The sequence below is a fragment of the Homo sapiens genome, chromosome 19 (genome assembly GCF_000001405.40).
Source record: "Homo sapiens chromosome 19, GRCh38.p14 Primary Assembly".
Classification (NCBI taxonomy): Eukaryota; Metazoa; Chordata; class Mammalia; order Primates; family Hominidae; genus Homo; species Homo sapiens.
The window spans coordinates 33,176,958-33,194,329 of record NC_000019.10 but is presented as its reverse complement, the minus strand read 5'-3'; the positions used below and the strand labels follow the sequence as shown (position 1 = coordinate 33,194,329).

Genomic DNA, 17,372 nt, shown 5'->3' with positions numbered 1-17,372 from the left:
AGTCCTCCCGCCCGGCCCCTCGCCCGCGCCCGGAGCCTGGAGGCCGCGCTGCGCCAGCCACGTGACGCGCCCGCCGAGCCGCAGTGGCGCTGGCTGGGCGGGCGGAGGCGGCTGGGGCGGGCCGGGGGCGCACGCCCCGCCTCGGGGTGCTGGACAGCTCTGCGCACCAGCCCCGCCCCGCCCGCGCCCCCCGCCGCGCTCCCCGCGCTCCAGCCCAGTGCTCCAGGCAGCCGGTGCTCGCCTGGCCTCCTCCCGGGCCCACGAATTGATCCCTCCTGGAGCCGGCTGTGCTGAGGAGGACCGGGGAGCGAGGACTGGGAAAAGGTGGGAGAGAGAGGACGGCTTAGGGACCTCATAGGGGTGGCACAAGGCTAAGGCCTGTCTTCTTCGCAAGGTGTCCCTGTTCCTGCCCCTCCGCTTCTTTCATTTGCCACAGTCCAAGTGCCCTGTCACGTCTCTAAGAGGAACCCCCTGTGCCAAGCAAGACCTGTCAGGGGACATTGGTGAACACACCAGAGGCCTCTGGAGATCTCCCAGGGCCCCCTGAGCCCACCCTGTTACCCACTATCCTCGTGAGGCTGGGGACTTGGGAGGAGGCCTGCTTCTTAGGCTGGGGGTGCCCTCTGGAGAGCTGCCCACCAAGAGGTTGAGTCCAATGAGGCAAGAACCAGGAGAGACAGGGGGAAGGTTTGAGAAGGCCATTTAGGGCCAAGACGGATGTGAAATCAGAGGTCCCCAAAGGCTCCATGGCACAGCGGGCCCACCAACCTGAGCTGAGGCTCCCAACCCTTTTCTAACACCCCCAGACCCTCATTTGATATTCTCCGTTTATGGAGAGAAGGTTGAGAGAAACTGATGGTCCGTTAGTGAAAGCGTAGACAGTCACTCACTCACTCGCACTGTGCAGGTTGATTGGATTTTAATAAAAAATGGGGGGAAGAAAAATCCTTTTAGTTTTTCTGGGTTTTCTTATTCTCTCTCTTCTAATTCCTTTGGTGATTTTTCCAAAGCAGACTTCTTAGGAAATGTATTAAAGGACGTAAAAATCAAATAACAAGATACATTACAGATTGATGGCATAGAGCACTAGCCTATGTGTAATTTGGTTTCAGAATTTCCTCAGACTGCTGACTGCGGATGAGCAGGCATTTATTTACGCATGGCAAAAATGCTCAACAGAGGCAGGGGCAATGGTAGGGTGGATCTGCGGTTTGTTCGTTTGTTGTTGTTGTTGTTGTTGTTGCTGCTGCTGCTGCTGCTTCTTAGTTTTTTTAGAGACAGTCTCACTTTTTCACCCAGGCTAGAGTGCAGAGCTGCAACCATAGCTCACTGTACCCTCAAACTCCTGGGCTCAAGCAATCCTCCCACCTCAGCCTCCCAAGTAGGTGGGATGACAGGTGTGCACCACCATGTCAGGCTAATTTTTTCATTTTTTTGTAGAGACAAGGTCTTGCTCTGTTGCCCAGGCTGGAGTGCAGTGGTGTGATCACGGCTCACTGCAACCTCAAACTCCTGGACTCAAGGGATCCTCTTGCCTCAGCCTCCCAAAGTGCTGGAGTTACAGACAGGACCCACCACACCTGGCCAAAATATGCGGTTTTGTTGAAGATGCTGCCTGCTTCAATGCATGTTTTGCACGTTATGTAAGGAATCTAGGGTCCAGACCAATGACCAATATGGGAATCATGTTGGAGCCTGAAGCAAAAGAAAAATGTGAGCCCCTAGACACACTTATCAAAATATCCTCCCATATTTTGAACCAAGTGGAAAGGCTAAGAAAAGCTCTACAATCACATGACTATATCTAAATCTCCATGCTCCCCAATCTATGCACATCCCATTGTGAACCCTCATAAACCCATAAGGCAAGAAACGGCCAAGGTACCCAGGAACCTTGGGCTGATTGGAAACAACTGTCCCCATTGCACACACACAAAAAATTTGCATTAAAGTTGATTTATCTTCATTATTGAGTTTTTTGGCACTTCCTTCAATTCTGTGCCCAAGGTGAGTGCCTCACTGCCCTATCCTACTCCCGGCCCATATTGAGACCCCGGCCCATAACTGACACCCCATTTCCCGTTTGTCTCATGATGGTCTAGTGCCCCCTAGAGGTTGCTGTGCCAGGCAAGACCCTTGCTGGGGGTCCCCAATGCAGCTCTGGCCCAGTCCTCTCCCCCACCGCCCTCTCACCACATCTGGAAAGGTTCCTGGTATTCCTGTCTCTGCTTCAACACTCTTCCACGCTAGCTGCAATCGCCTGGGTCTCTCCACCTCTGAAACCTTTTCGTAAACCTCCCTCATTGACTCAAGCTATATCCAGAACGTGTCTATTCATCACAACCCAAAAGCTTCTAACCATTGGAGAATTCAGTACTGGGAAGGAGATGGTGGGCATGGACCCAGAATATGGGAACTGACTGGCTGGGGCAGGTGAGGGAGCAGTGGTGGGGCAGAGGGCTCAGACATGAGAGCAGGGGCTTCCTGGCAAGAAGCTGGCCTTCCCAGTTAGGAGGAAGCAAAGCTGCTGTCACAGTCACTGTGGGCCAGTGACGCCTTCAGGAATCTGCTGCAGGAGTGAGGAGCCACAGGACATGCAGAGAGGAGACGGAAGGGACACAGAGGCATCCCATGTAAGTCCCCACTCCATCCCATACGAGAGGGCCACCACCATTGCCCACTCATCAGCCACATACCCCGAGCCCTCGTGGGACACAGAAGAAACCAATGACACAGGAGAGTCCCACATCCTCCCCCAACATTCACCCACAGGCAGATGCAAACTCAAGCGCTCTCTTATCCAGTTGCTTACCAGACACTAATGAAGAGGACTCTGTGTTGAATGGTCAGTGTCTTTCCTGATTTCAAATAACTAGAACCAGCCAGGCACAGTGGCTTACACTTGTAATCCCAGCACTTTGGGAGGCCGAGGTGGGCAGATCACTTGAGGCCAGGATTCGAGACCAGCCTGGGCAACACAGCAAGACCCTGGCTCTACAAAAAAAAAAATTTTAATGTGCTGGGTGTGGTGGTATGCATCTGTAGTCTGAGCTACTCAGGAAGCTGAGGTGGGAGGATTGCTTGAGCCCAGGAGTTTGAGGCTGCGATGAGCCATGATCGCACACTGCACTCCAGCCTGGGCAACAGAGTGAGATTCTGTCTCAAAAACAACAACAACAAAAATCCTACAATCTATTTGAAGGTCAAAGGCCAAAAGTGGCTTTGGCAAATAAAACTGAAAAAAATTGTTTTATGATCACCTTTATGCCCAAGTTTATCACAGGTGACTTCCAAGAGGGCAAACCTCTCATTATTCTAGCTGAGCCATAGACCAGACACCCCTCACCCCCACATCTGCCCCTTCTCTACTGTGCCCTACTCAGTTCATGGCCACGTCCATTACTGAGTTGATCATTTTTACTCCAATCTCCCTACATCCAATCCATCACTACAACCTGCTGGTCCCCATGATGTATCTCAAATCTACCCACCTTTCTCCATCACCGTGACCACCTCCCTGGTCCCAGCCACCATCTCCTGTCTCCTGGACCTCCACAGAGGCCTCCCTCCATGTGGTCCCTTGCCTCTCAATTCATTGCTCACGTTTTTAACATGCAAATTGGTTCATCCCCACTGCTGAAAATGCTCCAGAACAGACTTCAAAGTTTTTAGCTCAAGCTGCATGATCCTGTGAACAGCCCTGCCTGCCACCTTCTCCAAGCCCCACTCATCACCAGCTTGCTCTGGCCTCAGAATGTTTCCGCTCCCCCCAGAGCTAATTTCTATCCTTCTGCCTGTTCCATCAGGCGAATAGTCAAGCCAGAGAGCGTTTGGAGGGAAGTTCTTGATCCTGCCAGCAGCCGCTCCAGCACATGGACATACTGATGGACCCCCAGGTCTCCAGGGCCCCCTTGGAGAGAACTGCAAGCACCTGGGGCCAGCAGTGAAAGAGGAAGGTCTGTCTGCCCAGTCTCTCCTTGGGCAGAAACTGTCCTGAAATGCTTTGCGCAGTGGTGTGATCATGGTTTGTTGTAGCCTTGATCCCTCCCGGAACCCTAGCAGAGGTGCCTCACAGGATGATGTCTTCTAAATGGCTATTTTGCTCTCGTATACATTTTTTTATTATTGTTTGTTTGTTTGAGACAGAGTCTCATTCTGTCACCCAGGCTGGAGTGCAATGGCGTGATCTTGGCTCACTGCAACTTCTGCCTCCTGGGTTCAAATGATTCTCCTGCCTCAGCCTGCTGAGTAGCTGGGATTACAGGCATGCACCACCATGCCCAGCTAATTTTTGTATTTTTAGTAGAGACGAGGTTTCACCATGTTGACCAGGCTGGTCTTGAACTCCTGACCTCAAATGATCCACCCGCCTTGGCCTCCCAATGTGCTGGGATTACAGGAGTGAGCCACCGCACCCGGCCATCGTATACATTAAAATCCATGTTTCTCCAATGACATTTGAAAAGCTCAGCCATTTGGGTAGAAATTAACATGAGGGCCTGTGACTGTGGGATTTCTGAACAGAAGTTAATGTCCAACTTTGGAGTAAGATGGTGAAAGGACAAGAAAGAAAAGAAGAGAAAAAATGGAGCTTTTGAGAAAGGGTGTTGATATGGTTTGGCTGTGTTCCCATCCAAATCTCATCTTGAACTGTAACTCCCACAATTCCCAAGTGTTGTGGGAGGGACCTGGTGGGAGGTAATTGGATGATGCGGGTGGGTCTTTCCCATGCTGTTCTTGTGATAGTGAATGAATCTGATGAGATGTGATGGTCTTATAAAGAGGAGTTCCCCTGCACAAGTCCTCTCTTGCCTGCTGACATGTAGGAAGTCTCTTTGCTTTTCCTTCATCTTCCACCATGACTGTGAGGACTCCCCAGCCGTATGCAACTGTGAGTCCATTAAACCTCTTTCCTTTATAAATTACCCAGTCTCGGGTATGTCTTTAACAGCAGTGTGAAAACGGACTAATACAGGTGCTAAGGTTTATTTGAATTAAAAATATCAAAATCACAGAGAGATACCACTTTGCCTCCATTAGGATGGCTACGGTGGGGGGCAGGGGTGGAATACACAGAAAACAACACATGTTGGCAAGGATGTGGAGAAATTGACATTTTTGTGCATTGCTGGTGGGAGTGTAAAATGGTGCGGCTACTGTGGAAACCAGTATACGGGTTCCTTAAAAAATTAAAAATGGAATTACCATGTAATCCAGCCATTCCACTTCAGGGTATATACCCAGAAGAATTGAAAGCAGGGACTCAGACAGATCCTTGTACACCCATGTTCATTGCGTCATCATTCACAATGACCACAAGGTGGGAGTAACCAAGTGTTCCTTGATGGATGATGAATGAATAAGCAAAATGTGGTCCATCCATACAGTGGAATATTATTCCGTTTTTTGTTTCTTTGTTTTTTTGGGTTTCTTTTTTTAGACAGAATCTCCCTCTGTCGCCCAGGCTGGAGTGCAGTTGTGCAATCTCAGCTCACTGCAACCTCCACCTCCCAGGTTCAAGCGATTCTCCTGCCTCAGCCTCCTGAGTAGCTGGGATTACCGGCACGGGCCACCACACCTGGCTAATTTTTGTATTTTTAGTAGAGACAGTGTTTCGCCACATTGGCCAGGCTGTTCTCAAACTCCTGTCCTCAGGTGATCCACCTGCCTCGGCCTCCCAAAGTGCTGGGATTACAGGTGTGAGCCACCTATTCAGTCTTAACAGAAGGAAATTCTGACACATACTATGACATGGATGAAACTTGAGGACATTATGCTAAGAGAAATAAGCCAGTCACAAAAGGACAAATATTGTCTGATTCCGCTTACAGGGGCATCTTGCATAGTCAAATTCATACGGACAATAAACAGAATGATGGTTGCCAGGGGCTGAGAGGAGGGGCAAATAGAGAGTTATTTAATGGGTAAGGAGTTTCAGTTTGGGAAAATTAAAAGTTCTTGAGATGGATATGTGGATGGTTGTACAACAATGTGAATGTATTTAATGCCACTAAACTGTACAGCTACAAAGGGTTAAAATAGTAAATTCCATGTGTCTTTTACCATAAAAAACAAACAAACAAACAAAACAAAATCAAACAAAAATACAAGGCCAGAAGAAGTGGCTCGTGCCTGTAATCCTAGCACTTTGGGAGGCCAAGGTGGGCAGACCACTTCAGGCCAGGAGTTCGAGACCAGCCTGGTCATCATGGCGAAACCCCATCTCTACTAAAAATACAAAAATTAGCTGGGTCTGGAGGCACAGGCCTGTAATCCCAGCTACTCAGGAGGCTAAGGCAGGAGAATCACTTGAACCTGGGAGGCAGAGGTTGCAGTGAGCCGAGATCGTGCCACTGCATTCCAGCCTGGCAACAGAGCAAGACTCTCTCTCTCAAAAAAAAAAAAAATGATAATAATAATAATAAAAATAAATTTAAGGCCAGGCGCGGTGGCTCACGCCTGTAATCCCAGCACTTTGGGAGGCCCAAGCGGGCGGATCACAAGGTCTGGAGTTTGAGACCATCCTGACCAACATGGTGAAACCCCATCTCTACTAAAACTACATAAAATGAGCCAGGCCTGGTGGCGCGCGCCTGTAGTCCCAGCTACGCGGGAGGCTGAGGCAGGAGAATCACTTGAACCCGGGAGGTGGAGGTTACAGTGAGTCCAGATCGCGCCACTGCACTCCAGCCTGGCGACAGAGCAAGACTCCGTCTCAATAAATAAATAAATAAATAAATAATAAAAATAAAAATAAATTTAAAATACTACAAATAAACTGGCAACATATATGGTAGCAATCACAGCATTTCCTCCTGAGTTCAGTGGGGTGGGACAGCTGGCCGGGGTTGCTGCTTTGACTTCAGTGCAGCTTCCTAGCATTTCTGCAATCCCGGGGCAGTGGCGGGGGGGCAGGGGGCAGGAGGGCTGGTAGAGTTTGGTCAGTCCAGGTGGGAACTGCAAAGCTCAGAGCTGAATGCCTGCTCGCCTGTGGGAGTGCCCAGACACACCCAGCCACAGTGCACCCATCCAGCCTGCTGTGTCTGCAGGCACGTCCAGGGCAGTCGGCACGGTGTGTCCAAGTGCATCCAGCCATAGACACTCTCCAAGCTGCAGCCAGTTCCTAGAACCTTAATAGACCAGCGGCAGTAAAATCATTTCACCTTCAATATTGTGCAGTAATTTTAAAATTATAGGCCTGAAACGGTGATAGTAAGTATGTCATAAAAGCACCATTCCAAAAAAAAAGTGTTTTATTGCAATGAAAATGTTAGCAGCAGGTCGCCCCTTGGTTTACATAACCTTCTCTGCAGGAACTTCCAGTGCTGAGTGCAGTTCCCATTTTCAACCAAAAAGCTCCCTCGGTCTTGCTGAAGCACTCAGAAGTACCCTCAAGCAATAATCATTTGTGTATTGATTTGGGGGAAGAGTCAGTCCAATCTCGTCCACCTCACTAAATTATTAATGAAGCCAAGCACATCAGAAACCCCAAGATGGGCTAACAGGTAAGGTTTGTTATTTAACCCTGTTGGTGCCTGATATGGTTTGGATATTTGTCGCTTTCAAACCTCATATCGAAATGTGGCCCTCCAGTGTTGGAGGTGGGGCCTCGTGGGAGGTGTCTGGGTCTTGGGGTGGATTCCTCACGAATGCCTTGGTGCCCCCCACACAGTAATGAATGAGTGAGAGCTGATTGCTTAAAACAGCCTGGCACTTCCTCCCACTTCCTTCCTCTCTTGCCACATGGCACTGGCTCCCCCTTTGCCTTCCGCCTTCATTGGATTTTTTTTTTTTTTTTTTTTGAGACCCAGTCTCACTCTGTCGCTCAGGCTGGAGGGCAGTGGTGCAATCTTGGCTCACTGCAACCTCCACCTCCCAGGTTCAAGCAATTCTCCCGCCTCAGCCTCCAAAGTAGCTGAAACTACAGGCACCTGCCACCACGCCCAGCTAATTTTTGTATTTTTTAGTAGAGATGAGGTTTCGCTATGTTAGCCAGGCTGGTCTCGAACTCCTGGCCTCAAGTGATCTGCTTGCCTCGGCCTCCCAAAGTGTTGGGATTACAGACATGAGCCACCATGTCTGGCCTTGATTGGAAGCCTCCTGAGGCCCTTGCCAGAAGCAGATGCTAGTGCCAAGCTTCTTGTACAGTCTGCAGAACTGTGAGCCAAATAAACCTATTTTCTTTATAAATGACCCAGCCTCAGGCATTCCTTTACAGCAACACAAAACAGGTTACTACAGAGCCACAGGAATAAAGGTGACACCCTGAGACAGCCTGAGTCTCGAGGCCTAAGTACAGATTGTGGGAATGCAAGGCTGGAGGGGTGGATGAAGAAAGCCATGGACAAGCCCCTCCGTCCCAAGGAGTGGCCCCTCCTTAATCATAGCAGGTGAGAGGAGCAGACCAAGCTCACTTTCAGCCAAGCTCAAAGCAGCTGGCAGAGGGGCTCCAGGTGTCTGGTAGCAAGACCACCAGCCCTGAGAGAGAGAGAGAGAGAAAGACACACACACACACACACACACACACACACACACACACACACACACACACACCCTGGAATTCCCTGGGGGATGCAATAGGAAGCAGGCAGTGCTACCCACTTGCTGGAGCTCCGTGGGCCCCTCCACCACCACAGACAGCCCATCTTTATTATGAACTTAATCACTGTATTTAAATCCATTCATTTTTATATTATTTAAGAACAGTGTTATGTTGGCCCAAACCAAATGAAACAACATTACAAAGGGGGAAAGGGCTGGGCATGGTGGCTCACGCCTGTAGTCCCAGCACTTTAGAGGGCCAAGGCAGGAGGATCACTTCAGCTCAGGAGTTTGAGACCAGCCTGGGCAACTTAGTGAGACCCCCATCTCTATAAAAAAAAAAAAATAGCCAGGCACAGTGGTGCATGTCTGTAGTCCCAGCTACTCAGGAGGCTGAGGTAGGAGGATAGCTTGAGCCCAGGAGTTCAATGCTGTAGTGAGCCATGATTGCACCACTGCAGTCCAGCCTGAGGGACAGAGTAAGACCCTGTCTCTAAAAGTGGGGAGGGAGAGGATTATTATGAAACATGAATTAAATTTTTTAAAAAGAAAATAAAGTAGGCTGGGCACGGTGGCTCACACCTGTAATCCCAGCACTTTGGGAGGTCAGGGTGGGCAGGTCACTTGAGGTCAGGAGTTCGAGATCAGCCTGGCCAACATGGTGAAATCCCATCTCTACTAAAAATACAAAAATTAGCCTAGCATGGTGGTGCACGCCTGTAGTCCCAGCTACTCAGGAGGCTGAGGCAGGAGAATCGCCTGAATCTGCAAGGCAGAGGTTGTAGTGAGCCGAGGGATCACACCACTGCACTCTAGCCTGAGTGACAGAGCGAGACTCCGTCACACACACACAAAAAGGAATTCAATTTCCCACAAATGAAGTGCGGCGATGTTTATGGAATTCACTGGTGTTGCCATGTTCCCCACCAATCTGAAGCAGCTGGCTTGATAGAACAGTGGAATGGCTTTTTTCTTTTTTCTTTTTTTTTTTTTTTTTTTTGCACTCTGTCGCCCAGGCTGGAGTGCAATGGTGCGATCTCAGCTCACTGCAACCTCTGTCTCCTGGGATCAAGCGATTCTCATGCCTCAGCCTCCCGAGGAGCGCACGCCACCACGCCTTGCTAATTTTTGTATTTTTAGTAGAGACGGGGTTTCACCATGTTGGTCAGGCTGGTCTCGAACTCCTGACCTCGTGATCCGCCTGCCTCGGCCTCCCAAAGTGCTGAGTATACTGGCGTGAGCCACTGCGCCCGGCCTGGAATGGCCTTTTGAAGACGCAGTTACAGCATCAGCTCAGAGGCGATACCTTGCAGGGTTGGAGCAAGGTTGTTCAGAAGGCGGCATAAGCTCCGAATTAGCGTCCGATAGATGGCGCTGCTGCTTCTAGCCAGGATTCGAGGGTCCAGGAATCAAGGAATGGAAAAGGAATGGCACCGTTCACTATTACCCTTAGTGAGCCACTAGGTAATTTTGTTTCCTGTTCCTCCCATCTCATGGTCTGCTGGCCTAGAGGTCTTAGCTCCTAAGGAAGGAATGATTCCGCCAGGAGTCACAGCACTGATTCCACCGAACTGGAAGTTGAGACTGACTCCTGGCCACTCTGAGCTCCCCATGCCTCTGAATCAATGAGCAAAGAAGGGAGGGACTGGGCTGGCTGGGGTGATGGACCCTGCCTGCCAAGGGGAAATTGGAACACCACTCACGCTGGAAGTGAGTAAGACTATTTGGAACTCCGGAGATCCCTTAGAGGGATCTCGGTGTACGTATTCCAAATTTCTCTCCCCATCTATGGCTTCCTTTTTTTTTTTTTTTTTTTTTTTTTGAGACAGAGTCTTGCTCTGTCGCCCAGGCTGGAGTGCAGCGGCACAATCTCGACTCACTGCAACCTCTGCCTCCTGGGTTCAAGTGTTTCTCCTGCCTCAGCCTCCCGAGTAGCTGGGATTACAGGCACCCACCACCATGCCCGGCTAATTTTTGTATTTTGGGTAGAGACGGGGTTTCACCATGTTGGCCAGGCTGGTCTCAAACTCCTGACCTCAAGTGCTCTGCCTGCCTCGGCCTCCCAGAGTGCTGGGATTACAGGCATGAGCCACCACACCTGGCCCTATGGTTTACATTTTTACTTTCTCTTTTAAAAAATGTAGGCTGGGTGTGGTGGCTCACACCTGTAATCCCAGCACTCTGGGAAGTCAAGGCCGGCGGATCAGTTGAGCTCAGGAGTTCAAGACCAGCCTGGCCAACATCGTGAAACCCCATCTCTACTAAAAATACAAAAAAATTAGCCGGGTGTGGTGGTGGGCGCCTGTAATCCCAGCTACTGGGGCGGCTGACGCAGGAGAATCACTTGAACCTGGGAGGCAGAGATTGCAGATCGTGCCACTGCACTCCAGCCTGGGCGACAGAGTGAGACTTCATCTAAAAAAAAAAAAAAAGAGCTTTGGGATTCACTGAAAGAGGGAAATCAGAGGTGCGCACTCCAGCATCAGAGGAATCTGATCAGCCTGGCCGTCTCCAGGGCTTGATTCTCCTAGGTGTGGATTTACTGAACATCACCTGCTGGGCAGCCATCCCAGATGTCCACCCCGAAGCCTGCAGTCACCCTTAGCTGTGTGCCTGTGGGACTGAGCCAGAGAAGCTCTGCTGAGGAATTCAAGAGCAGACAGGCTCCTGGAGCATCAGCTGGCCTCCAACCCATCCTTAAAGCAAGGCTCCCAACCTGCTTATGCAATTCAATCCCAGATACGCACACGTGCCCCAGGTGATCTGCCATACACAGCATAGTAAGCCCAGCCAGTGTCCAGTTTGGCATCATTTTATTTTTTTAAATAACTGATCACAACTGCTTCTTAGGAGCCACTCTAAATTCAGAAGAAGGTGTTACATTATCTCAGAGGCACAGATCAGTGAAGAACAAAACAATGCTGAAAGTCAGTCCACACTAATTCCAACACCACCCTTCTCTCCCCGCCTGCCTGAATTTGCCTATCCTAGGCATTCTTTTCAGGGGCGGACGTGCGGCAGGGAGAGACCGCTTCTGGTAGAAACCAAAAGCACGCTCCTGTTCAGCCCCCAGAACATGTAGTAAATTGTCTTACACTTCATAGACATCCCATGTTTGCTAAAGTTCGATTAAATTTTAATTAGTTTTTTGTATTAAAGTATAATCTAATTGACTGTAGGAAATAAAATGTGGTGCGAAATGATGTTTCTGTTTCCACACCAGTCAACCTTTTAAATTAAATGATAGAATCTTGTAAATATAGTTTGTACAAATACATTCACCATTACATTTTGATTTATAAAACTCACCCATCACTGGCCAGGCGCAGTGGCTGATGACTGCAATCCCAGTGCTTTGGGAGGCCCAAGCGGGAGGATCACTTGAGCCCAGGAGTTTAAGACCAGCCTGAACAACATAGCAGTACCCTGTCTCTACAAAAAAATTAGAAATTACCCTGGCATGGTGGCTCATGCCTGTAGTCTCCACTACTCGGAAGGCTAAGGCAGGAGGATGGCTTGAGCCCTGGAGTTAGAGGCCGCAGTGAGCCGTGATTGAATCACCACACTCCAGACTGGACGACAAAGTGAGTGAAACCCTGTCTTTAAAAAAGCAAAAAATTGGCCTGTCGCTGTGGCTCACACCTGTAATCCCAGCACTTTGGGAGGCTGAGGCGGGCAGAGCACTTGAGGTCAGGAGTTTGAGACCAGCCTGGCCAACATGGTGAAACCCTGTCTCTACTAAAAATACAAAAATTAGCCAGGCAGTAGTGGCACATGCCCATAGTCCAAGCTACTTGGGAGGCTGAGGCAGGAGAATTGCTTGAACCCGGGAGGCAGAGGTTGCAGTAAGCTGAGATTGTGCCACTGCACTCCAGCCTGGGCAATAGAGCAAAACTCCATTTCAAAAAGAAAAGGAAAGATCACCATCATTGAACAGAGGTGGGTGAGGGAAATGGATGAGTGATTCTGCCTCCTGCAGCTGAGAACTCAGCATACTGGAGACCACACTCTCAGCCTTCCCCGGCAGTGAGGAGGCCCTGCTCCTCCGGAGAGGCTGTAGGAGGGTTCTTCCCCAAGGCTGAGGCCACCTCTCAGTCATTAAAGCTGAAACCCTCTCCTGGAAGCAGCTGATGGTATGTGCGTATCTCTGCCCTCCTAGCGCAGATGAAACCTCTCTTTCCCTGTCTGGAGCCCTTCAGGCCACAGTTGCATGGGAGGTAGAAACAGAGGGAAATGGGACAGTCCACCGCCCAACAAATGCAGGCTCTGCCCTACTGGAAGAGCACAGGCCATGTGCAAGAAATAGTTAAATCCACGTGGAGCTGGTGGGGACAGGCTGGGAAGACGAACCAGACTGCTGTCAACATGACTTTTATTATTTTAAGTTTTTTTTAGAGAGAGGAAGTCTTGCTATGTTGACTAGGCCAGTCTTGAACTCTTTTTATTCATTTATTTTATTTTTTATTTTATTTTATTTTGAGTTAGAGTCTCGCTCTTTCACCCAGGCTGGAGTGCAGTGGCGCAATCTCAGTTCACTGCAACCTCCACCTCCCAGGTTCAGGCGATTCTTGTGCCTCGGACTCCCAAGTAGCCGGGACTACAGGTGTGCACCATCATGCCTGGCTACTTTTGTATTTCTAGTAGAGACAGGGTTTTGCCATGTTGGCCAGGCTGGTCTTGAACTCCTGAGCTCAAGTGATCCACCCGCCTTGGCCTCCCAAACTGCTGGGATGACTGGTATGAGCCGCTGTGCCCGGCCTTTAATATTTTTATTTAGATTAGATTGACTTTTGTGCTGTGAAATGCATAGATCTTAAGCATACAATTTAATGAGTTTTGATAAACACACACCCAAACTCCTACAAAATAAAGAGCATTTCCATCAACCCCTCGAAGGTCTTTTTGTACCCATTTTCAAGAAATCAATCTCTGCCACCTATGCAACCATTGCTCTGCTGTCACTATAGATTAATTTGCATTTCCTAGAGCTTTATGTAAGTGAAATCATAAATGATGTACTGTTTCACTGTACACGACGTGAGATTCCACCCACGTCTGTGTAAGTGTCAGCATCCCATCCCTTTCTCTTGCTGTGTAGTGGTCCATTGCCTGGATAACCCACAGTTTATTCATCTCCTGTGGACACCTGGGCTGTTCCTAGTTTTTTACTATTGTATTGAGAGCATCTGTGGCATTTTCTTATGGACGTTGTTTTCATTTATTTTGGATAAATACTGAAGGCTGGGATTGTTCATAACCCAGCTTTTCAGATTCTGATAGAATGCGGTAATTTTCACTGCTTTGCTATACCCCTTGGGCCCTTCCTCTGCTAAAAATTATTTTGTCACTTATATGTGTTGTAGATATCTTTTTCTTGTTTGTAAGTTGTCCTTTTTTTCCCTTTAAGATCAAAGTTATCATTCACCATCCCAATTTGCACAATTCAGAATCTGCCCAAAAATCAAACAAGCAATCAGCAGTAATAAGACAGTCAAGACAGTCAGGCAAGAGGGCTGCTTTAAGGAGCCACATTTAAACATCAAAGGCATTCCTATTTAGCAGGAGCATGCAATTTTTAAAAAATGGAATTATCCCATTCACAGTATCTAGAAATAACCCCAGCAAGAAATATATGGGACCCAGGCTGGGCACAGTGTCTCTTGCATGTAATCCCAGCATTTTGGGAGGCCGAGGCAGGCAGATCTCTTGATGCGAGGAGTCGGAGACCAACCTGGGCAACATGGTGAAACCCTGCCTCTACTAAAAATACAAAAATTAGCCAGGCGTGGTAGCACACGCCTGTAATCCCAGCTACCTGGGTGGCTGAGGCAGGAGAATTGCTTGAACCTGGGAGGTGGAGGTTGCAGTGAGTCAAGATCGCACCACTGCACTCCAGTCTGGGCAATAAGAGTGAAACTGCTTCTCAAAAAAAAAAAAAATCTACTTATAATGGTATCAAAAAAAGAAAATACTTAGAAATGTGCTTAACAAAAGAGGTGTAAAACTTATGCTCTGAAAACTAAAAACCTTGTTGAAAGAAATTAAAGAAGACCTAAATAAATTGAAAGCCATTCCATGTTCATGGATTAGAAAACTTAACATTATTAAGATAACAATATCCCCCCAAATGATTTATTTCTATCAAATGCAATTTCTATCAAAATCCCAACTGGATTGTTTGCAGAAATTTACAGGCTGATTCTAAAACTCATGGAAATTCAACAGACCCAGAATAGCCAGAACAATCTTGAAAATAACAACTTTGAAGTCCTCATACGTCCCAATTTGAAAATTTAGTACACAGCTATAGTTATCAAGAGTGTGGCACAGGCATAAAGCTAGACATGTAGATTAAGGTACTAGAATTAGAAAACCACAAATAAGCCCTCATATTTATGGTCAATTGATTTTCCACAAGGGTGCCAAGACCTTTGGGAACAGAATAGTCTTTTCAACAAATGGCGTTTGGATGAATGAAAATCCACATGCAAAAGAATGAAGCTGGACCCCTCCTTCACATCATATACAAAATTGACTCAAAGTAGATCCAAAACTTAAATGTAAGAGCAAAAGCTATAAAACCCTTATAAGAAAACATTAGTGTAAATCTTTATGACCTTGAACTTGGCAATGGAGTCTTGAATATGACATCAAAAGCATAAGCAAAAAGGAAAAGTAGATACATTAGACTTGATCAATATTGAAACGTTTGCACTTCTAATGACAGTATTAAGAAAGCAAAGAAGGCCGGGCACGGTGGTTCACACCTGTAATCCCAGCACTTTGGGAGGCCAAGGCAGGCGGATCAAGAGGTCAAGAGATCGAGACCATCCTGGCCAACATGGTGAAACCCCGTCTCTACCAAAAATACAAAAATTAGTTGGGCGTGGTGGCACGCGCCTGTAGTCCCAGCTACTTGGGAGGCTGAGGCAGGAGAATCGCTTGAACCCGGGAGGTGGAGGTTGCCGTGGGCAGAGATCACACCACTGCACTCCATCCTGGTGACACAGTGAGACTCTGTCTCAAAAAAAAAAAAATGCGGTGGCTCACACCTGTAATCCCCACACTTTGGGAGGCTGAGGTGGGCGGGGCGGATCACCTGAGGTCAGGAATTCGAGACCAGCCTGGCCAACATGATGAAACCTCGTCTCTACTAAAAATGCAAAAATTAGCCGGGCGTGGTGATGTGCACCTGTAATCCCAGCTACTCGGGAGGCTGAGACAGGAGAATCGCTTGAACCGGGGAGGCGGAGGTTGCAGTGAGCAGAGATCACACCACTGCACTCCAGCCTGGGCGACAAAGACTCCATCTCAGTAAATAAATAAATAAATAAATAAATAAATAGCAAAGAGAAAAGGAAACGGAGAAAAGATTTCAAACCCTGTATCCAATGAGGGACTTTTTAATTTTTATTTTTTCTTCGAGATGGAATCTCGCTCTGTCGCCCAGGCTGGATTGCAGTGGCGTAAGTATGAGCCAGAAATAAACCAGCTCCACAATGACGCAAGCCCAGTTTCCAATAAATTCATCCCTAATTGGATCCAGGTGAACGCTCCTATCAGCACTGCAAAACGTCAAAGTCTCCTTACAAGCTTTCCTAGGCAATGTCAGTCAAAAACAACCAAGATACAAAAGCGCGAGAATTGACTAGAAAACGACAGAAATAAACAAACAAACAAAAACAATAAACCCAGATCCATAGAAGAGGCAGGAAGAGGAACTGCTTCTGGGGCAGGTGAATTTGACTACACAGCCTATGCCATGACTGCAATTTCTGCACTGGGACTGTCCTGTCGGGTTTGACATGTGAATCCCTGGAGAATGTTTGTAAAAACTCCAATGCCTCACCCCACCCTACCCCACCACCCCCAAAGCCTCGAATGCACTTGCTCAGGAATAGGTTCCCACATACAAATGTGGGTAGAACCCCAGCGCTGAGCAACCAACCCCAGCCCAGGCAGCTGGCTTCAGCCCACACCCGGCCGTCTGCAGCTGGGGCAGAGTCCCCTGCCTGGCCTGGAGTTTCCACGCAGTCATCGGACTGAGGATCACGCTAACCGGACTCAGTCCCGCATCCCTCCACACGGGGTCCCCTTGGCCTCGCCGCCGGTCCAGGTCTTGCATTTGTGAAAAGGCTGCACCCACTGCGCGGCTGCAGGGAGACGGGCAATCTTCAGGCCTTTGCGAGGCTCAGCTAAGCCCGGCGAACGTCGAGGATCGGCACCCGCGTGGGCTCCCCCAAGTGGCAGCTTGGAGCCAGGAAGACTAGCGCGAGGAACCCACGCCACAGAAGGCGGCGTGGGAGAGCGCGTCCACCGCCCGCCCTGAGGAAGCAGCCTCGGGGCGAACACCGGCTCCTCGCTGGACTCGCACAGCTGCTTCCCAGCCCGCCGCTCGCCTCCCACGGCCAGCCAGCACCATGGCAACCGCGGTCGCCTGGGTCCCCGCGCCGCCTACGCCCCACAGAGCCTGAGACCCGAGAAGGTGGAGTCCGAAGCCCGCCTGCACCCGCCCCCGTGGCCGAGGCCACGCCCCGTTGGGGGGCCCGTCTACCTAGGCCTCTCGGGATCCCGCTCACACCCTCATAGTATCGGGCAGCCGGGTACAGAGCACAAAAGTGCAGGAGCAAAAATGGAAAGAGCTTGGACGCTCGGTTGAGGCACCGCTGGGATTCGAACCCAGGATCTCCTGTTTACTAGACAGGCGCTTTAACCAACTAAGCCACGGCGCCACCCGTACAGGTACTTTCCTAAACTATTCTTCATTACTATTTACCATATGGGCCGCGCGCATGCGCACACATTCGGCCTGTTGTGGCGCACGCGTAGTG

At 49.1% G+C, this 17,372-nt stretch overlaps 1 non-coding gene across 1 annotated transcript, besides 4 other annotated features; it reads right to left on the bottom strand.

The window, feature by feature from the left end:
• Positions 3,682-3,851: an enhancer, noted in NCBI's record as "experimental_51171 CRE fragment used in MPRA reporter constructs". NCBI's record gives its function as "activates a minimal promoter by MPRAs in K562 erythroleukemia cells, with activity observed for the non-introgressed 19:33681470 variant allele {active_cell/tissue: K562}" and the evidence as "EXISTENCE:reporter gene assay evidence [ECO:0000049][PMID:34662402]".
• Positions 16,554-16,673: an enhancer, noted in NCBI's record as "active region_14443". NCBI's record gives its function as "activates an Ori minimal core promoter by ATAC-STARR-seq in GM12878 lymphoblastoid cells {active_cell/tissue: GM12878}" and the evidence as "EXISTENCE:reporter gene assay evidence [ECO:0000049][PMID:35858748]".
• Positions 16,684-16,743: an enhancer, noted in NCBI's record as "active region_14442". NCBI's record gives its function as "activates an Ori minimal core promoter by ATAC-STARR-seq in GM12878 lymphoblastoid cells {active_cell/tissue: GM12878}" and the evidence as "EXISTENCE:reporter gene assay evidence [ECO:0000049][PMID:35858748]".
• Positions 16,914-17,273: a silencer, noted in NCBI's record as "silent region_10492". NCBI's record gives its function as "represses an Ori minimal core promoter by ATAC-STARR-seq in GM12878 lymphoblastoid cells {active_cell/tissue: GM12878}" and the evidence as "EXISTENCE:reporter gene assay evidence [ECO:0000049][PMID:35858748]".
• TRT-AGT1-3 (tRNA-Thr (anticodon AGT) 1-3) lies at positions 17,200-17,273 on the bottom strand. The gene has a single exon. It is a non-coding gene; the product is annotated as a tRNA-Thr (tRNA).